Genomic DNA, 23,072 nt, shown 5'->3' on the forward strand with positions numbered 1-23,072 from the left:
TGATTCCTGGTTTAGATCGTTATCCTAGAGCATTGACTAAAATGTTAAATGACCTGTAAGTTACATTGTTTTACCAAGAGGCTGTTCCCTACATTCTCTTGAGTCTGTAGTCTCATAGGTTGCTGATGTTGCATAAAACTGGTACAGCCTCTCTGGGTGATAGTTTAGCAGTAGGTTACAAAATGTCCATGCCATTTGACTGAGAAATCCAATGGATAGGAAGTCATCGTGAAGCACCTAATGACTTAGCTAGGAGATGTTCACTGCAGCTTCCCAGCAAACAGGGTAAATTATTAATCATCCATAAGACAAAATAAAGCACAACCATTGAAAATATATAAATGTATATGTGTGTCTTTACACACGAAAAGATATTCATAATATCCTATTGAATAAATAAACCAAGTTTGCAACAGTAAATTCAGTATGTGTGTGTATATATATATATATATATATATATATATATATATATATATATGAAAATATTAATACACCTATGCTCAGAAGAAATACCAGAAAGGAAGGATCAAAATACCAATTTTTGGGTAATATGATTAATGTTGATTTTAATTAATAGTGGATAATTTTACTGTCTTCTAGGATGATCAGATATTACTTATGAAAAAGGAAATTACTTAGCATTGAAACTGGCTTCTGGCATAGAGAGAAGGGATGAGGATCTGATGAACGTGGATCAGCAATATGCCACGTTTACTAATGTTTGTTACCGTGTTGGCAGTGACATCAGGGTGCCAATGGCACACTATTGATTCAGACATAAGGATGTGAATACCAGGGACTCAAGAGAAGGGACAGCTTCAGAACTATACACACTTGAGCCATATTTTTATTCTCTTTATCTAAAATGTTCTGATTTTGTAGGATAATTATTTGCCTTTTTCTTTTTACTTTAGACAAAATCCATTTTCATTTGTTTATTAAATAATTATAAGTACACAAAAGAATATTTACAATATAAAGGTAAAGTGGAGAAAATACTCATGAACAGAAAGTCAGTGTCCAGAAATGGAGTATGACCATTGATCCTGTAAGAGTTCCCTAAGGCAGCAGTCCCCAACCTTTTTGGCACCAGGAACTGGTTTCGTGGAAGATAATTTTTCCACAGACAAAGGGTGGCGGTGATGTTTTTGGGATGATTCAAGCACATTACTTTCATTGTGTATTTTATTTCTATTATTATTACATTGTAATATATAATGAAATAATTATACAACTCACCATAATGTAAAATCAGTGGGAGCCCTGAGCTTGTTTTCTTACAACTAGACGGTCCCATCTGGGGGAAACGGGAGACAGTGACAGATCATCAGGCACTAGATTCTCATAAGGAGCACGCAAGCTAGATCCCTCGCATGTGCAGTTCACAATAGGGTTTGCGGTCCTATGAGAATCTAATGTTGCTACTGACCTGATGGGAGGCAGAGCTCAGGTGGTAATGCAAGCAGTGGGGAGTGGCCATAAATAGAGATGAAGCTTTGCCAGCTCGCACACCTCTCACCTCCCGTGGTGTGATCTGGTTCCTAACAGGTAACAGACCGGTACTGGTCCATGGCGCGGGAGTTGGGGACCTCTGCCCTATGGGATCCTCCATTCCTTTCTCCTTTCCTCTCTGGCTTGAGAAAACCACAGTCCTAAATTTTTTATTATTGCTTTGCTTTTCTTTATAATTTAATTCCTAAGTGATATTTTAGTTTTGTGTGCTTTTGTACTTCATTAAGTAGAATTATACTTATTCTTCTGCAACTTGCATTTTTCACTCGATATCTTATTTCCAAGTTTTATCCATGTGGTGTGTATAGTGATAGTTCATTCATTTTGCTATTGTCCAGTCTTTATCATGGAAATGCACCACAGTATGCTTATGTATTGTCCTGTTTATGAACTTTTGTGTGACTTACAGTTTGTTGACACTATGAAAGCTTTTATTAATGGCGTCTGATGTGCATGTATAACATCTAATGCTCATGTAGGTTGTCTCAGGTCTATACACAGTGGAATTGCTAGGTTATAGGGTATGTGAATGTCCAATTTTAATATACAATGTAGACCATGCTAAATCATTTTCCAATTATTTTTATCTATTTATATTCTTGCCAGCAGTATATGAGAGCTTCTATCTTTGCACAGTCACCAACATTTAGTAATGTCAGACTTGTAAATTTTTGCTAATCTACTGAGCGTGAACTAATTTAATTTGTATTTCCCTGAGCATCAGTGAAGTCAAGCATGTTTGCTTCAGTGAAGTCAAGCATGCTTTCCTGGGTTTATTAACATTTGTGATTTCTGTCTATAAATCATCTGTTCAGGTCTTTTGACCCATATTTCTATTGGATTATTTCTGGTTTTAAAGTGGGTCTGTAGGAATTCTGTATATATCGGGAACAAATCTTTTTAGTTATATATGTGAGAGATATCTTCTTCCAATTAGTGGCTTGTCTTTTCATTTTCCATATAGCGTCTTTGATAAAGAGCCATTATTAATCTTGTTCGTCCGTTTTTCATGGTTTGCCTTTTTGTGTCTTAAGAAGTCCCTTCCTAACCAGAGGTTCATAAACACAAACTTCTAGATTGTCTTCTAAAATGTTTATAGTTTTGTCCCTGTGAATGGTTTAAAGGTGTCCAATGTGTTTTTTCTATAGAGATAACTGTTCTAGGACAATCTATTAAAAACTCTTCTGTTGTAGGACTTTCTCCTTAGTTCAGCTAAAAACGGGTCCTTGTCACACGACCATGAAAGATTAGGCTTGCAGACACTTTGAAGGGTGAGAAAAATGGAATTTATTGGGTGAAAAGGAAAAAAACTCAGCAAAGCAAGAGAGCTTCCTGTTAACAGATCCCCATCTCACAGATAGAATTCCCAGTTACCACCCCGGAAAAAGAAAGGACAGACTCCTACCCCCTAAAACCGGCAGAAACTTCCATGGCTCAACCTGTTCTCCCAGTGCTCAGGCCGGTGGGAGTTTCTCCAGGGACCCCTTTGTATTTGAATGTTTCATTTTCTTTCCCTACAGAGGTGTAAATGCCAGCTGACTGGAATCATGTCATAGATGAAGTTTCTCTCTGAGTGTGGACCTGTTTCCTGGGTTCCCTGGAGAACACAGGCATTTGAGTCAGCCAGATGTTGAGGGGCCCTACCAGGGAACTTCTTTATATTTTAAATAAGAAGTCATTTATCTCACATAACAAGTTAGAAGCTATTCTGGGTTAACCCAAGGCACAATGATGGCATCAAGAACCCCGGCTCTTCCCATATTTTCCTCTGCCAGAGTCAGTTTGTCAGTGATGATTCCTCACAGCTCCAACTGCTTCGAGCCACATCTGCAGTGGAAAAAAGGCTTCATATTTTAAATTCTAACCTCAAGGTTGTTGTGGACGACCCAGGTGGTGTGCATTCAAGTTGCAAGCTGCTTTCCCATGCAGTCCCACTCAGGGTCACGAGTTCTCAGGGGAGGATTTTTTTCTCTGTCCATTCAGTCCTGAGTTTCAAGATGGGCAACTTGCCTTTCAGATCCCTGTGTAAAGAATGAAGGTATTTATTTCTAGTTCACCTGACTCTCAGGGTGCAGCCCTTGGGGCCTACAATTTACACAGGAATCTCACATTAAACCCCTCTCCATGGGCGGGCCTTGGGCTTTGTCCTCTGCCCTTACGCCTCATGAGACAGTGAAGAGCTAAGCTGGAATTCACCAAGGTGGTAAATGTAGACCTCCCTGAAAGCTTGTCCTGTTTACATCTCTGCCTTCTCATTTTCTCTTAATTTTTTTCTTTTTTTGGCTTCTTGGTATTCTTTGCTTTCTTGGAGCTCGTCACACATTTAGGAGGATTTTTGTCTTTTCTGGAATTTTTAGTTGTTTTTTGGTGGGAGGGTCTGTCAGTGCATCTAGTCCTCCACACTATGGAAGCAGAAGTTGGTTTAAATTCACTTTAAAAATTGCCTTCTGTTTTATCAATTCTGCCTAAAGGTTTGTTGGAGACTGAACCGTTGCAAGGAACAGACGAAGATGCAGTAGCCAGTGCTGACTTCTCTAGCATGCTCTCTGAGGAGGAAAAGGAAGAGTTAAAAGCAGAGTTAGTTCAGGTATGTTTAGTAATCTTATTGTTGCTATTTCTATCTCTGGATCTTAAGAGTTATTATTAGTTTGATATAATAATTGTAATGATGTTGTATTGTAATGATGTTGTCTTTCATTTAATAAAATTTATAAATGAATACATTACAAGATGATTCATTTTTCCAGGGTATTTTTCTACTGTTACATATTACTTATTAGTTACAGTTGTAGAATGAATCATTGTGCTGCTTAAGCAACAATAATAACCAGTTTTAAATATACACTTCTTATTCTTTTTACTGTCAGAATACTATGGGAATAATAAATTACTTACAAACCTGATAGAATTCATTCCAGACCATGTTATAGGTGCAAGATCCTTTTGAAGATGGGTTCTGGTTTTAGGTCAGCAACTTAGCTCAACAATTACTTTGAAATGATTTTTTTAAATGAAAAAGTCAATCATAGAAGCAACTGAATTTATAAGTTGTGTACTTTTTGGCAGAAAAATAAAGCTCTAGGGGTAGAGAGGAAAGCAATGCTTCATCGAGGCCTAATTAGATCTTGTGGAGCTGCTGTGGGGATCCGGACCTAGGGAGGAGGAGGATGTCAGGCTCATTATGAATACACATCTTTGTTCAAGTCTTTTGCTTGCAATACCCACTTTAGACACTTTGCTGACAAGCCTTTACTTTCTAGGAGGAGAGTGTTGTAAAAAGGGCTCCTTGAGTAGGAGGAAGCAGCAGAGCCAGAGGAGCTGAGGCCAACATTCCCTCTGCATTCTGTGTCCTGGCTCATAGGCCAGGAAGATCCTGTTCCCACAGAAGCAAGGCTTGGCCTTCCTGCTTTGGCCTCTCCACAGGCTGAGGACACAGCTCTGAGCTCCACCTTACCCTCTCCCCACTTTGTCCACTCTGAACTCTGAGTTCTAGCCTCCTGATAGTGTTTGTCTATGACAGCTCAGAATAATATTAAAGATTTTCAGGTGCTTTTACAAGACACACCTCCAAGTTAATTTCATTTCAAAATGAAAGAGCAGCACGTTCCTCTGGTATAACCAAAAATGATTTCAGTAAGCACAGTGCCTCAAATCTTTAGCTGGGTCTGTCTGTGGCCACTGAGTGGCTGCACGTACCAGAGTGCACAGACCAAAGTTAGCATTAACAGATAATGGACTGACTCCACATATTCTTATGGCCTGAAATTCTGGCTCATGACTAGTTCATGTCAACTGCAGGGTCCAAATGTCATGTTCTGCAGAGTGGGGTAAGCCAACTGAGTCTAAGCTAAAACTTCACTCCATCATGGTGATAATGCTAGTTTAAGTTTAGGCACAATGTCTGTAACTGACCAATTTCTATAAAATGCCTCGATTTTTATTTTTCTGGGCTGTAGGATTACTGGGGTATACATACATACATATACTAATACATGCTGATTTTTGTACATTATTTTCTAAATGTCAACAGTGAGCATGATACTACTTTTATAATCAAGAAAAAAGTAAGTATTGGTTTTAAATGGATGCCCCATGAATATGAAAAAATAGAAGTGTTTTCAGAAATTCCTGTCTCATTTGGCCACAGTAATACACTTCCAGAACATTTCACTCCTAAGAGTTTTTGAGCCTGACTTCTGGAAATAACACCAGACTCTTTGTTACTGTGTTCAAGTTACCAGGATTCATGTTTTGCACTAGCCTCCATGCTTCCTGGCTCTTATTTCTGGGTTCTTCGGAGATGAAGAAGTACCGCATGCTGCCAAAGGTAGCGTCGTGACTTCCAGGGGCACATGAGCACAGCTCTCTGCCCCAGGCCTGGTGAAAAGCAGAGAAAGTGTATCTTTGCGATTTTTCTTCTTCACATTTCTCTTTCTCCTCCTCCACGTCAGGCCACCTCTGCTTTATGCTCATTCTGTTTTTAAAACAGCTTTCCTTACTCTTTTACAAGTGTGCATGCGGATGTGTGGACACAGGAACTCAAGTTCCCTGATAGCACGTATGCATTCGGATTTTACCTTCAATGCTAGGATTCAATTTTAACAAGGACACATAGAAAGCCATCTCTGCAGTCTCACTGCTGGCCTTATGAAGAACTGAGGCCTCCTATAGAGTCAGCCCCTCTGCCCCAATTCTCCACAGAGATTCTTTATGGGCCCCTGGTCACAGACAACTCCTCTTTCTGTCTGAGGAGAGATCCTACTGGGTCTGTTAGCTCCTTGGGTACCAAAGATACCTCAGAGACCAGCCTATTAGATGACGGCCTTGGAGTCAGGCACTCAGTTGTGGTCATGATCCAAAGCAAGACCTGTGTGTACAAGGACTTCTGACCCCTGACTGCTTTGCTGAAAAGAGGTCTTGAGTGTGCCAGGTGTCCAGCCTCCTCTTTGTTTCCTTCCTCTCCCTACTTTCCTCGTCTCTTCTGTGAAATAAATAATTCAAAATAAAAGCTGTTGGGACTTTAAATTATTTTGAGCCTTGAAGGAATGTGAATATGGGACCTGAGTCACATAACAGGCAGCTGTGACCTAGGCAGCTGTAACCTGTTTCTCTGATTATAGACTAGCCTTTTCATTACCTACATTGTTTTGTAAAATGCTATAAAAGACTAAAGGGCACCAGAGAAGACCTCTTTTATTATAGATTAACTTCCCTCTTTATTCTCTTACACAAACGCCTTAGATTGTCTAAGATGGAATGTTAAACATATACTTTTAAACTGGAAAAGAAAAAGAAAACAAACTGTAACTAATCAAATTGCTGTAACTCATAAACCAGCAATATATGAAAAATGCTGTAATCCTATTAAATTTCTTTGTTTTCTGCCTGTGTAAATAAGACCTTAACTTTTCAGCTTCATAGCACTAACCACATTCCTTTAGAGTCTGTGTTTCCCAGATGTCTATCCTTAGCTTTTCACTTGAATTAACTCTTAAACTGGATTCTGATCCATTTTATTATTTCAGGTTGACACCTCCTACTGCTTTCTGGCTATGCTGGATTCCTTCCTCCCAGCTCTCTTTCTCTTCCCTCCCCTCTGTCTTATCCTGCATTATCTTGTTGATAATATTCCCATGAGGTTGCCCTTAGACTTCAACCAATCTCATAACCCCATTCTCTCACACAGCCAACATATTTTTGTGTGCTTACCAAGTGCTGGCAAGAGGAAGACTTCTTTTGGTAGGAAACGTAAACTAAGCCAGTAGTGTCCAAAAGGCTTACATCTTGGACAAATTCAGCATTTTAAAAGAGGAATCTCTTGGCCAGCTGTGGTGGCTCACGCCTGTAATCCCAGCACTTTGGGAGGCCGAGGTGGGGGGATCACCAGAGGTCAGGAGTTCGAGACCAGCCTGTCCAACATGGTGAAACCCTGTCTCTATTAAAAATACAAAAATTAGTCAGGCATGGTGGCATGCGCCTATAATCCCAGCTACTTGGGAGGCTGAGGCACAAGAATTGCTTGAACCCAGGAGGTGGAGGTTGCAGTGAGCCAAGATCATGCCACTGCACTCCAGCCTAGGCAACAGAGTGAGATTCCATCTCAAAAAAAAAAAAAAAAAAAAAAAGGAATCTCTTTTAACATAACTTGATCTTTAATTTATTGTTGTGGTCATGCAATATGTATCTTTTTTAAAGTTCATCAAGTGTGAGGCCAATATCACCTCTGATCTGGTGCAGTGGTTCATGCATAGAAGGAATGTAATTAATATTTATAATTAGCTTGAGTTATTTTATATTTTAAGCAAATATTTATATTTGTAAATTCCAAAAGTAGAATATGCTCTTTTTTTTACAAACCTTGTCAGTAAATAAAGAATTAATCTTTTGTTTCAGATATTTATTCTCATTGGTCTTATTACCAGACACCTTTTCTGAAGTCTTTACACACCTGTTTTTTTTTTCTCTCTCTCTCTCTTTAAGTACACTTGCCCAATAATTCTGTGCCACTATCATCCCACTCCCACTTTAATTTCACTAAGCTGCATTTTATGTTTAGTATTTCATAATGTGTCTTGCCTTTTGAAAAGGATAAAGTTTTGGCATTAGTACTGTAAATTTGTGATTATATAACAATCAAGTACTGCCAATGTCCCTGAGATAAGATGACTTAAGAGAAATAGGCATTAATAGGAATAGGAAAAATACCAGACAGCATTATCAAGTAAGTAAAGCCTATTTTCATGCTCTCTCAATCTCTCCTTTGGCTCTTTCCTCTTCCTCTGGTCTGTGCAGTCCCCAAGAACACACAGTGCTCTCAAGCTAACGGTGTCTTACACTTGCAAAGAAGTGCCTTAGGCTCTGGGCCTCTCTCTCTCTCTCTCTCTCTCTCTCAGCTCCTTCCTGAAGACCTTAACTCTTTCTGGACTGAGCTAGTGAACAGCTAATGTCTTCATAACCATAATATCTTATTGTTTTGCACCTCTTAGTCAGTATCTGCATTTTAATCTTGGGTCTCTTAGCCAAAGGCAAGAGTAGCCCAGAGAGGCAGGCCTTGAAGCCACGTGCACGTGAGACCAAATGTGGTTACTCCTAAATAACATACTGATGATGCCTAGTTTATGAAAATAGTTTTCCTTCTGGGTTGCAGTTAGAAATTTTATGTAATCTAGCAGATAAAACTGAAAAACAAATTTTATAAATTTCATACTGAAGCTAATTCATTAGCTAATTCAGACTAGTTAGTTCACTTTTTTGCATTTTTCTTTAGATAAATTTATATAACATAAACTTATCCATTTTAAAGTGACCAATTCAGTGGCATTTAGTGCACTCACAGTGTTGTGTTGTGTAACCACCACATCTGAAAGGAAACTTGTACTCATTAAGCAGTTGCTTCCATTTCCCACTTCCCAGCCTCTGGCAGCCGCCAGTCTTCATTCTATCTCTATGGGCTTACCTATTCTTGATATTTCATATAAATGGAATCATACAATATGGGACCTTTTGTGTCTGGCTTCTTTCACTTAGCCTGATGTTTTTGAGGTTCATCCATGTTGTAGCATGTTTTAGTACTTCATTGTTTTTATGGCTGAATAATATTCCATTTTATTTATCTACTACAATTTGTTTATCCATTCATCTCTTGATGGACATTTGGGCTGTAGTCACCTTTGGTCTACTGTGAATAGTGCTGCTATGAACATGTGTGTCCATGTATTTGTTTGAGTACCAGTTCTCAATTCTTTGGGGTATATACCTAACAGTGGAATTGCTGAGTCCTGGGGAAATTAATTCTGTGTTTAACTTTCTGAGAAACTGTACGACTGTTTTCCACAGTGGCGGAACTATTTTACATTCCTGCCAGTAATGTACAAAGGTTCCAACGCCTCCACATCTTTGTCAACACTTGTTATTTTCCTGTTAATTCATATTTAAATAATCAAGTTTAAATATCTAATATTGGGCATAAATATTCATCCTACAAGGAGATCTTCTAGGGAGTCAAGAAACCAAAGAACTAGACCATTAATTTGCAATGCAGAAATAATTAAAATTAAAAGGAAAAGATATATTAAATACTTTAATTCATTAACATGATTTACTTGCACTTCATCTCATTCCAAATTGGATGTGGCTTACAGAAGTACTTACAGTTTAGAGTTTCCATACTCCTTGTATCAGAATCTCTGAGGATGCTTGCTGATAACACAAGCAGTCTGGCTCCACCAAATCTAAGGCCTTGAACTCTCAGGGCATTAAAAGGCAGCAGATGCCTGGGAATCTGCATTTTAAATATGCTTTCTTATTTAAACTGAAGTTGAGAACCACTGAGATAACTAGACCAAACGATCGCAGTCAAATAAAGGATTGAAGTTCATCAGCAGCAGCCTTTAAGGTATTTGTAAGTAAAGACCTCATTGTGGCAGGACTCTTGGTTCTGTACAAAGAGAGGTTGTTGGCCTTTTGGAACCTTACACGTTAATGTAATTAAAGATTGTCTGTCTTTCCAACTTTTGCGATTAGTTTTTGGCATATATTTAGATCTCTGATAAATATTCTGAACGTTTTGAAAAGTGTGAGTCTTTATATTGCATTGAAATGGTTAGAATTTTATTATAGAATCTGAGAATACACCCAACTTAAATAGCTGACTTCATGTCTTCATTATTAGAGGTCTCTTCCCCATATGTGTCTTTGAAAGTGTGCCTGAATTTTTGAATTATTAAGTGTGGGACTTTATATTTCTTTTTTTTAAGAATGATTTTTGTTAAATTGGTCACTTTAATGTTTCTATCGCTTTTGGGGGATGAAGATTTTATTAAAAATTTAATGGCAGCTCTGAATCCTTTCCTCACTCCCCACCTCCAGATAACAAATGAATAATCCACAGCCCCTCGTGGTTTTTAATACACTTATGGGGCTCCATGGCTATGAGGTTGAGAATATTAAGGTGTTCAAGCCTCTTTCTCCTTGTGTACATCTGTAATTTATTTCAGCAAGTTAAAATTTTCCCCTTATTTTTTTACACAGTGGAAAATACTGTAACACTCAATATACCCCCACCCCCGCCGAGAAAAAACCCAGACTCCCAGTAATTTCAGTCACTCTAAATGAAAGAAAGCAGAAATGGCCTTTTTAATAGAGAATAAAAGGCTGACATGAACCCCAAGCATTTTCTGTGGTAAAAGAGCAAGAGATACAACCATGAGAAATATTGGGCAGCAGATTAAATGGAGGAGGACACATTGACAAAGATGAAAAAGAGAAATATGACATGATAACAAAAGAATAGAAGGGCTTAATTTTAAAATAACAGTGTATTCTCATTTAATGGAGAGACTAAAAGCATTATTCTCTTTACTGGTCCCTAAACATACTCCTTTTACAGTAATCAGTGTATGTATGCACACTGAAGACTCTTGCTCATCAAGGAAAGACAGGGTTCTATTGATTATACTATGTTTGTAGAATATGTAATTCACTTTAGATTTTAGAAAGATGTCCATGTACATATAAAAAATGTTCTGTGAACATAAAGAAATGGATAATGTTAAATTGCCAGGACATTTTGCTGATATTAAAAACCCCAAGATATTGCTACTTCTTACTGTGGTATTTAAGATGCTTGTGATTCAGTATTTCTGCTTGTTTTGCTTACGTGATTATTTGTGTATATAAAGGTTCGCAAAACCATTTCTGTCTGTTCACTATTGGCGCTAGTGAAAGACTGGGGGGTTTTATTGCATGTTTTGCTTTTGCAAAGGCAGATGCCCTTCTTGAGCTGCTTTCCCAGGAGCTGTGACTCTGGTGATCCAAGGAACGCATTTGCAAGATGACTGACAGCCTGACAGGGTTGGTGTGATGCAGCTTGTGGTCCGAAGTAGAGTGACACTTTACAGTAAATGAGCCACAGTTGCTCCTTTTTAAAAAAAATTTAGTAAGAAATCCACTAAAGTGACAGAGTTTTATTACCTCCATGCATGTGGGATACTAAGGTAGTTCTAATGATTCTTTTCCGGCTTAACAAGGAAAAGTCACAAAATTTGTTTTCCATATTTCAGAAAACAAAGATGTAAATGTAAGCACTGATACCAGAGCAATATGTTATAGAGTATGACAACTAATTAAAATCAAAGACTTTGTGATTTATTCAGATTTATTTTCACAGGATAGAACAGCACTTTCCAAAATCTGAGTACTTTACAGAGCTCTTTTGTTAGAAATTGCATTTGCAAGAGCAATTTTATAGTGCTGAAGAGATCTGCTTTTCTGTAGCACAGGGGAAAGAGGAAATATGTCCATACGAAGCCTTGTACATGAATGTTCATAGCAGCTTTATTTGCATTAGCCTAACCTAAATGCCCTTCAACAGGCAAATAAACAACACACTTTGGCATATTCATTCAATAGAATACTACTCTGCAAAAAAAGGGGAAGAACCATTGATAATGCAGCAACATAGATGAATATAAAATAACTATCTGCAAAGCCAAGCAAAAATGAGTGTATACTCTATGATTCAATTTGTATAAAATTCTAGTAAATATCTGCAAACTAAACCCTAGGGAAAGAAAGTCAGTCAGTGGCTGTCTGGTGAGAGTGGATTGGGGGAAAGGAAAGAAGAGGGAGGGAGGAAGAAGAAGAAGCAAGTAAAAGGTGATGAATATGTTCACTTCCTTGATTGTGATAATGGCTTCACGGGTAGATACATATGTTAAAACTTACAAATTATACATATACACTTTAAATGTCTGCAGCTTATTGTATGACAGTTACAGGTCAATGAAACTGTTAAAAAGAAAAATCAACACAAATCACTCTTTTACATACATCCTCTAATCCCTTGTTCCTTCCTTTCTTAAGGCATTAGCTTGGCAAAACCCCATTGTCTGCCAATTCCATTCCTGCACCTATGCAACTGTGTGTGGTTGGCAAAAAATAAACTACACTGAGACCAGGCGTGGTGGCTCACGTCTGTAATCCCAACACTTTGGGAGGCCAAGACAGGAGAATCCCTTGAGGCCAAGAGTTTGAGACCAGCCTGGTCAACATAGTGAGACCCTGTCTCTTTAAAATAAATAAATAAAGTGGCACTTGAGAAGAAGTTATATAAAATAAGGGTACAGTAGAAAACCAATTTTTGTTCAAAAATTATGTCTATATACAACTTATAGAAAGAACATTTGGAAGTTTAGAAACCAAAAAATAAGCAGTGGCTATTTCCTAGCAGGATACAGGTGATTTTTATTTTCTTGTTTATGTTTTTCTGTACAATCTCACTTTTTTTTTTAACAAGCAGCATAAATTACTTCTATAATCATTAAAATGAAAAATTCTGTTTCTACTTTGAGATATTAGACTATCATCTGTATGGGGTGTATTTGGCAAACCTACACATGGGATTGTATAAATAGGAGGGTCAGAGGCTGCTTTGGAATACCCAGAGCTTCTGTAAGTATCCTTTTTTGCTGGTCTGACATTTTCCCCCACCATTTCCCCTCCGCCTTGTAGCTAGAAGACGAAATTACAACACTACGACAAGTTTTGTCAGCGAAAGAAAGGCATCTAGTTGAGATAAAACAAAAACTCGGCATGAACCTGATGAATGAATTAAAACAGAACTTCAGCAAAAGCTGGCATGACATGCAGACTACCACTGCGTAAGTATCATATGAACAGTGTTTTATTAACTCAGCCTGATGTCTCCTCACTCTGTTGTGTTTTGTTTCATTTTTCCTACAAGGCTGATTTGGTGCATGAAGCTAGGAAAAAAAAATACTTTCTCTAAAAGCAAAGCAAAGAAATGTGAATAATCATTAAGTATGCTGCATGTGAAGCAGATTCTATAAAGTAGCTTCATGAAATAAAACTCTGTTCACTGAAACTCTATTTTCACTCAGACTACTTTCATTAGGTTTTATTGTTTAAATGTTTTTCTCTTTATATTTTTAACATTTGTCAAATATACTTTTTTTAAAACTTTTTCTCATAAAAACTATAAATGGGAAGGTGTTTTCTCCTCAGCACACTTGACACTCACTATGTATGTCTTCCAAAAGTGGTTGGCAGTTTCAATACTGACTTGCTGGCAATTGATTTACAAAGAAAACCTTGTACTTTTCATCTTTTGTTTTGCACTTTTCATTCTCACTATTCTAGGGAATATTTAGAGCTGGGTTTAGACCAGTTTTAGAGCTTGGTTTAGATTACAGTTTTGGCCCTGTAATCCCAGCACTTTGGGAAGCTGAGGCGGGTGGATCACAAGGTCAGGAGATCAAGACCATCCTGGCTAACATGGTGAAACCTCGTCCCTACTAAAAAATACAAAAAATCAGCTGGGTGTGATGGCATGCCCCTGTAATCCCAGCTACTCGGGAGGCTGAGGCAGGGGAATTGCTTGAACCCAGGAGGCAGAGGTTGCAATGAGTCGAGATGGCGCCACTCCACTCCAGCCTGGCGACAGAGGGAGACTCTGTCTCAAAAAAAAGAAAGGAAGAAATGGTTTTTGCTTTGCCATTATCGTCCTGTCTTGTGCTAGGTAAGGTACAGAATAATCTCAGTTATTCTACAATCACACTTTTTTTATTAGATTATTCTTAAGTTGCATGAAATATTTAATGATGATGGTACTTTTCTAATGTTGCAAAGTATTTTACCTGCTGGGGGTCTTGTACCAAAGGGGAGTACTCCACATATGTGATGTGATTTTTCTTCTTTTTGTGTATTGGGGGTTAGGGGCTGATGAGGAAATCACAGAGGCTTTATCCCTAGCCGTAACTTTAGTCCCAAATTTCACCATTAAGAAATTGTCTTTGGGTTATGCATTTTCTTCTCTACTATCACACTTTGGAAGGTAAAGATATTGCATTCCTAATACCTAAGTGGGAGTCAATTTTTCTTTCTCCTAGGCATAGAAAGGCCTGATGGTAGGAAGAGGTACCAATAATTGACAGCAATTATTTCAGTTTTGCCAGCAGCCAAATTTGCCTGCTGGTTCCTAAGAACTAAGATGTAAGCCTTTTTGCTCCTATGAGAAGATGTCCTTTGTATGAGGAATTGGGTCTAAAACGAGCATGACATCTCCCCAACTTCCTTAGTTTCCATAAGAATGAGAATGTTTTTCTCCCTCTAAATATGGCCTAGCAGTCCTATTGGGCTCTATGCTTGTGCACCCTAAGGACTCAATCAGATAGGTTCAGGGCACAGCCCAGAGTCAGGCAGAATGTAGCCAGGGAGCTTGTCAGTTTATCTCCAGAAGTTAACCAACATTCCCCAACCTAATGATGACAATTACGGGAAAAAATAAGAAACCACACATTGATGTGCAGCAATTTAAAAGATAAGTTGCAACACCATATGAACAATCTCCTGAAAGGATAACTGGATTTTAGGCATTAAATTAAATGAGCTTATCTGTCAGTAGTTTTGGCCTCTGTCTTTCCACTTTCGTGGCCAATACCAATTAATGGCCCTGACAGTGTAAAGTTGAACAAGCTCTAATTCTCTGGGTTTGGTCACCTCTGTATTTAATCCAGGCCTGAGGGTTTCGTATAACACTGGTCTGAACTTCCCTGTGGGGTATAAGTACCAGGAAGACCTTCCTGCATGGCCTTCCTAATCACATTGCATAGGTAAACTAACCAAATGGAAGGTGGGGCAATGCTGGCAGTTTTGTTGCTGAAGGAGAGAGGTGCCTGGCAGGGAGGTGGGAATGTCTGAGCAGAGGGAGTGTCAAGTTTGTGCAAGGTCTGCCAGGGGAAGGGAGGGGAGAGACTCATATTCCTCCTGGGACTGGAAATAGAGCTGGCAAGTTCAAGGAAGGCTTCTAGCCTCTTCCCACAGGGGATAATGTCTAATTTGTGTTTTTCCATGTTTGAAAAACTAATAGGTTTTATAGCCAGGTAGTCTACTTAATGTAAAGCATTTTGCTGGATGAATAGCCTAGATTTATTCCCTGGGGTTATGGAGTTTAGAGTCTAGTTAGGAAGACAGAGTTTGAGTTTTTGTTGTTGTTGTTGTTGTTGTTGTTTGTTTGTTTGTTTATACGACAAAATCATGGACAAGGGGGATAGAAAGGATTTGGAGAACAGATCAACAGTGGTTTGCAGGTGGATGATGAAGGAAATAGGACCAAGTGTGATGTCTAGGCCTTTGACTTGGGCTACTGAGTGAGTGTTGGAACTGTTTACGAGCATTGTGGTTAGGCTCATGGTTGCTTGGGTTGAAATCTAGGCCTTGCTGCATTCATGAAGTGAGATCATCTTAATGCCGATCCCATAGGTAGTGAAGATTCAGTAAGTTAATGTTCGTAAAGGCTGCAGGACAGCATCTGACACTTTGTAGGCATGAAATGATTATTTGCTGCTGTGAGAAAGACTGAGAAACAAGTCTGGAGGAGAGGCACAATAATTCGTTTTGGCTCCGTAAAGTCTGAAATGCCCAATAGATAAACAGATTTATAGGCTGAGAGGACAACTCAGTGTAAAAGTTTAAGGCAGAGATGGACATTTGGGATTCAACTGCATATAGATAACATCGAAAACTAGATGACTAGATGAGATTTCCCTGGGGATTACTTAATAAATACAAATGGTCATGAACTCACTAACCTTTAGGAATGAAGTGAACTTTCCTTTGTAGGGAAGAACCAGTCCCTCTCTTTAGGAGGAGGCATAAGTCTATCAACCATATAATTTGGGGAAAGGGTCTGTCCCCAACCCTTTCTTCTTGGTTGTTGAGGGAAGGCAGCGGATCTTAATCATATGTTTGGAGGAGCGATAAAATCTGTATCCCTCTGAATTAATTAAACCCCTGCTCTTAGTGCTGTTTATGATACCCATTCCAGGACAAAATCTGCACCTCATCTGATGAAAAATTTGATGTGAAGAAATGATGAGCTATGATCAGGTTAGGTTAGGTAGAATTAGATTTCAAAGCACTAAAAAAAATTTTTAGCTGTCAGAGGATGTGTGTGATTCCCAGAGGCAATACTTTGCATACTGATTAAGCAATCATGACCTATTTAGTTTGATTTATAATGAAAAGAAAATCTATGGTATGTTAATGAAAGATCTTGGCATATTTCAGTCTGCAGTAGGATTCAAATTGAAATAGGCCTTGATAAGTAGGAATAATTACACAGCAGACTGAAATTACCTCCTTTACAGAAAGATTCCAGGAATACAGGAAAAGGTCAAGGGATCATCGGTATCCAGGGTTTCTTGTTGCTGTTGTTCTTGTCATAGTTTTTTACTTGCCTAGATTTGTATCTAAGAACATACAAAAAAGTCCTCTCCATTTTTTGGTTTTCTGCTGCCTTTTTATGTTGTCTTTAGACTTCAAGGAGACATGGGAGAGGTGGGTGACTTTGGGGTAAAGGAGGAGAAATTGAATCTCTTCTGTAGGCAGAAGTAGAATCAGGAAATACAACTTTATGGTGGGCTATTCAAAGCAGTGGGCTTCATGTATTCAACAAGTATTCTGCTTTGCTAACCCATGAAACATGAAATCCCCCCACTAATAAACCCCTCTGAATCGTGCCACAATCTAAATGGTAAGTCGACAGAGGGCAGAGGTTTTGGAAAGGAATTTAAACTATTCCATCTTTTTGAAAGCTTAATAATTTTATCCTACATAAAGAGGACGAAAAGCCTCACATTCAGCATTTTAAAAACGCACAGTGCTCAAAAATTGAACGTTAGTTTATGATTTATTTACTCTTTGATTTTGTTCTTCTAAGACTTCCAGGCCATTAATGGTCAGGAATTCTTATTATCTCTTTTTATGAGGGAGCCTGGTTGTAGCACTATTGAGTTCAGGAGTGCCAGTGAAGATTAAAGACCTAATTTTAAAAGATGTACACACCCAATCTCTCACATGGTTGTTCATTCTTTTTACCTTCAGGCTTTCATCTTATTACACAAGGCAGGAAGTAGATTCTTTTCTTCTAGATTCAAGTGGTAAATTTATGTTCTGATAACATATTTAGGGAGCCTTTGGAATAAAATAATCTTAAATGTTTTTTTGTATCTTTGGTGAAATGCTGCATATTCAACCATTAAAGGAACACTTTCTTTTAAATCTCATAAGAGGAAATATATTCGTGCTGTAAAATATCTTCTTCTAAAAAGATGAATTTTTTATTTCTTCTAGTTGTATGTAGAAAAATGCTTTATTTAAGTCAAAACAATTTAGAAAACAACATGCTTTCTCCTTTTGATTATTAACACCAATGTTCAAATTAGTAAAACATGTCAAGTGGACTTTGCATGAAAAGTCAACAGAATGCTTTTTATTTGGCTTGCAGAGACCCTTACCTCACACTACTGAAGATCCCCTGTTGGCGTGCTGGTCAAACAGCTAACCTGTCCTTGCCAATAAATGCTATCCATTCCAGCCAAATTGAGTTTCTGAAAAGTAGAGCCCACTTTCCTGTTGACTTTCATTGAAAAACAGGAAGTTTACATGTACTCAACACCAAACATCTCTCAGTAAACAGTCTTAAAGGACTTAATGCATATCAGGTGCTCTATAAACATTAGCTGCCATTGCTTTAAAAAACATTAGCTGCTATTGCCATTGCTGCCAAAGAAAGGCAAATGTTTAACTATGAAAGTAATGGCAGCTAATGTTCAGCCCTAGACCAGATTTGAGCCTTGTTGGGAAGTGCAGGTCCCTAAAGCAGTGTTTTCTGCTAGAATGGCTTTAGAACACACAAGGGCAAATTTCTCTTCACTCACCTGAAAGCTTCAGTTGTTCTCTTGAGTTAGAAGCTTCACATTGGAAACTCCTGATTCCGCTCCTGTAGCTGAAGTGAGGACAGGCACAGAACACAGACTTGAAGCATATACTTTCAACGTTTCTGCCACCTAATGCACAACTGACGGCAACTCAAAGATATCTTACACATTCCTGCTTTTACTTAAGGAAAACATATTGTTCCTCTGCTCTATCAATTATGTAAGTCAGCAATGGTGAACCTATATTTAGCTTAAAGTAAGAGACCTAGCAATCTGAAATGCTAAATACTATTTCTATTTAAGTTACAAGATTGTCAAGTCAATCAAGGTATTAGTATTTAAGTTGTTTTTCATTATTTGAATATTATTGCACATAGTTTTATATGATAGGGTTGAAAAACAATCTTAAGTATTAAAGATGTGCCAGATTCTATGGCATAATAAAGGGAGTAAAATGCAATACATCATTGAGTGCCATGGCTCACACCTATAATCCTAGCCCTTCAGGAGGCCGAGGTGAAAGAATCACTTGAGCTCACGAGTTCAAGATCAGCCTGAGCAGCGTGGTGAAACTGCATCTTTACAAAAAGTGCAAAAAATCAGCCAAATATGGTGGCGTGCACCTGTAGTCCCAGCCATTTAGGGGGCTGAGGTGGGAGGATTGCTAGAGCCCAGGAGATGGAGGCTGCAATGAGCCATGTTCACTCCACTGCACTCCAGCCTGGGTGACCAAGTGATACCCTGTCTACAAATAACAATAATAATAATAATAATAATAATAATAATAAAACACCAACTTCTTTTGGCTGATAGGAGGGGTTTTTTTCCCCAAGACTCAGGCTCCTAGCTTCTGGATGGGGACCTATCTTACTCATGCAACTTTAAGATCAAGTTCAATCAGGATGCAGCATAAGGTTACAGGGCCTGTGCAATACGTAACTCCTGAGGTACCATTTGCTTAGACCAGGCATGTCCAATATCTGGGCTTCCCTGGGCCACACTGGAAGGAGAATTGTCTTGGGCCACACATAAAATACGCTAAGGATAGCTGATCAGCTAAAAAGAAAAAAAAGTTGCAAAAAATAAAAATAAAAACTCATAATGATTTAAGGAAGTTTATGAGTTTGTGTTGGGCTGCTTTCAAAGCTGTCCTGGGCCACATGTGACCCATAGGCCGCAGGTTGGACAAGCTTGGCCTAGGCTATGGTGTGAGTGCTGCTCCTTGGTGCTTTTAAGTACTTGGAGCCCAATGGCCTATTTCTCATGGGGTCTCTGATTACTTTGTTCTTGAAAATCATTTCCCGACATATAACCCTTTCTCACTGTTTACCCTTTTGAAATCTCTTTCAATTGTTGATTTCCAAGTAATGTATATAAAATAGCAACTAACTGTTTTCAAGAAATATGATGGTTAGCTGGGCTCAGTGGCGCTTGCCTATAATCCCAGCTGCTGGGGAGGCTAAGGCAGAAGGATTGCCAGAGTCTAGGAATTCGAGGCCAGCTTGGATAACATAGTGGGATCCCAAGTCTATATATATATAAAAGGAATATGATGTTTAGCCTAAGGAAGAGGTGTAAAAATGTGGGGGGAAAATGTGCATTTTAGCATTCTTGAAATACAGTATTATTTCTCTCTCTGAACACTGGTACTGTAGAAAGCTGACCCAACTCACCTTTAAATGTCTATCATCTTCAAGGCAGCAAGACATTTTAATGGAAAGCAGGCACCCTGGACTAGGCCCTAGACTTACCTGTGTCACTAAGATTCACATAACTCTTTTGGGCCTCAGTTTCATCATCTGTAATCTGAAGGGATTTAGCTCCAGTGCCCTTCAGATTTAACATTAAATAATTCTTGGAAATAAGGAGTCCTAAAATCTTTAACACTGCATTAAACTACCTGTATAGCTGAATTTTAACCATAAAATTTCATATAGAAATAGACTTGCATTTTTCATGGTGGGGACATAAATAATATTAATACCACACTAAAGTAATCAGATCACTGCATATGCTCACCTCCCATTTTGCTATAGAAATGTGTTTAAAACACAATGTAGCTATCACCTATTTTCAATATATACTTCTCTCTAGCTAGCTATATTTAAATTATGCATTAAATTCAGAATGTCACACACACACAAACAAGTGTTTAAAAAATCATATCTTAGTTCAAAACATTCTCAAATATATAAAGTTAAACTACATGGAAAAGCTTAAAAGAAAATTAAATATTGGGTCTAATTGTAAGAATTCTTGAAGAAATGTGGAACCAACACAAGAATGAATTCTCTAACTAGTAGCCAGTCCCAACTTCATGCAAAAGCCACAGATATTGCAGAATATTTATTTACTTTTCCCTTGAGTCACGTTTCAGGCCACACAGAGTCAGTGGCAGGTGGTTGCTCAATAGACTTTCTTCCTTTCCTCCACCCTTCCCTGGTTTCCTTTTTACCCTTATCACTCCCTTCTCCCTAGGGCTCAGTCCATTCTGCAGGCACCCCAAGTGGCCAAGGCCCCAGGGACCTCTGGCCTTGACTAGACAGAAAGAGGTTGCTTTTACAGTCTTCTCAAGGGTGCAGGCTTAAGTCTTTTTAATTCTTCAAAATGGGACATTTAAAATACAGCACAACCCTTTTCGTGCCATATTTGATAGCATCACAAAGCAGAACAGCTAGAGCAGAGACCCTAAGGTAGGAGGGGGCCTGGTATGTTCCAGGGACAGTGAGGAGGCTGGAAGGTCTGGAGCAGAGTAAGAAGAAATGAGAGGGGACCAGACTGTGTAGGGCCATCAGAAGGCCCACCAGGTGGACTTTGGCTTTTCACCGTGAGTATTATGAGGAGATAGTGCAAGGTTTTGAGCAGAGACCTGCTCCAATTTAATGCTTTAATGGGTCCCTCTGGCTGCGGTGTTGAAAAGGGACTGTAGAAGGATAAGGTGGAAGTATGGAGTTTAGTTAGGTGATTGCAAGAGCCCCGGTGAGTGATGATGGCGGCTTGAACTAAGGTGGAGAGTAGTGGAAGCAGTGAGAAAGTAGACTCCACATCTATTCTGAAAGTTGAAATGAACCAACAGGGCTTTCCTGATGAATTTGATTTGGAGAATGAAAGAAACAGAAAGGTTAAAGATGATGCTAGTCTCCTATTTTGGGCATTCAATAGATTGTTCTATTTTCTTACCAAAACACATAAGTTTTTGCACAGGAAAGTTTTTCTTGATGTTTTTCAGAATTATGATGTCAGTAGAGTCCTGGATTGAGCCTAATTCTGAATCACAGTCCATAGTGTAATAATGTTTCATCAGCATATAATACTGTACTTTCCTCACTTCCAACTCCTTTATTTATTTAATTTATGGCGCAATTTCAGCTCACTGCAGCCTCTGCCTCCTGGGTTCAAGCAATTCTCCTGCCTCAGCCTCCCGAGTTGCTGGGATCACAGGCATGTGCCACCCAGCCCTGATTTTGTTTTGTTTTGTTTTGTTTTGCTTTTTTAGTAGAGACAGGGTTTCACCATGTTTGCCAGGCTGATCTCTAACTCCTGACCTCAGGTGATCCACCCTCCTCAGCCTCCCAAAGTGCTGAGATTGCAGGCGTGAGCCACGACGCCCAGGCTTGAACTCCATTTTTAATGCCCTTTTCACAGATCTGATTTCATTACCCAGTTACTACTTACTGAAACCTTCATCAGCATCCTAAAAATATAACTGTGGTAGGAAGTCCAGATTTTTCTTTATTTATTTGTAAGTAAGTCATTTTGTTCTTAAGGCCAAGACACTACATTTACATCTTGCTTTCTGAGTCTAGTTAATCCAAGTGTTCAAGACACTGCTTTGGAAAACTATTTAGTAGCAGGCTTCTTCTGAAGAATTCTTAGCACATGACATTTCAAGATCACACCTCACTAAAATCTTCTAATGATGATTGGTGTTTTTATTTCTAGTCTTTAACATTTTTAGTATTTTTAACTGTCTTATCACTAATGACAATTTAGATAATAATTTTTTATCTTTTTAAATTTTATTTCAATAGTCTTTGGGAAACAGGTGGCTTTTGGTTACATGGATAAGTTTTTCGGGGGTGATTTCTGAAATTTTGATGCACCCATCACCCAAACAGTGTACATTGTACCCAAGGTGTAGTCTTTTATCCCTCACCCCCCTCGAACCCTTTCCCCCGAGTCCCCAAAGTCCATTATATCGTTCTTATGCCTTTGCATCCTCACGGCTTAGTTCCCACTTAGAAATGAGAACATACAATGTTTGGTTTTCCATTCCTGAGTTACTTCGGTCTCCAACTCCATCCAGATTGCTGCAAATGTCATTATTTCATTCTCTTTTATGGCTGAGTAGTATTCCATGGTATGTAGGAATATATATTAACTAGACTCAGAAAGCAAGATTTAAAAGCAAGATTTAAATGTAGTAGTTTTGGCCTTAAAAACAAGAGGACTTTTTACAAATAAATAAAGAAAAATTTGGACTTCCTACCACAGTTATATTTTATATCACATTTTCTTTATCCAGTCATCAGTTGATGGGCATGTAAGCTGGTTCCATATTTTTGCAATTGCAAATTGTGCTGCTATAAATATGCATGTGTAAGTGTCTTTTTCATATAATGACTTCTTTCCCTTTGGGGGAAATCCCAATAGTGGGATTGCTGGATTGAATAGTAGTTATGCTTCTAGTTCTTTAAGGACTCTTCATACTGTTTTCTGTAGTGGTTGTAGTTTACATTCCCACCAGCAGTGTAAAAGTATTCACTTTTCACCACATCAACGCCAATGTCTATTTTTTTTAATTTTTAAATTATGGTCATT

The 23,072-nt window shown here is 38.5% G+C and overlaps 1 protein-coding gene across 12 annotated transcripts in view; it reads left to right on the forward strand.

Moving 5' to 3' along the window:
• TPD52L1 (TPD52 like 1) overlaps window positions 1-23,072 on the forward strand; it is a 110,635-nt gene that overhangs the window by 62,322 nt on the left and 25,241 nt on the right. For 11 of the 12 annotated variants that reach the window (NM_001318903.2, NM_003287.4, NM_001003396.3 and 8 more), the window contains exons 2-3: window positions 3,984-4,099; window positions 13,024-13,172. In NM_001318903.2, coding sequence (NP_001305832.1) covers window positions 3,984-4,099; window positions 13,024-13,172 — 265 coding nt within the window. Of the gene's footprint in view, window positions 1-1,506; window positions 3,713-3,983; window positions 4,100-13,023; window positions 13,173-23,072 lie in introns of those variants that run through there. The other variant, XM_047419286.1, reaches the window with a different exon arrangement.

Source organism: Homo sapiens, chromosome 6, assembly GCF_000001405.40.
Source record: "Homo sapiens chromosome 6, GRCh38.p14 Primary Assembly".
NCBI lineage: Eukaryota > Metazoa > Chordata > Mammalia > Primates > Hominidae > Homo > Homo sapiens.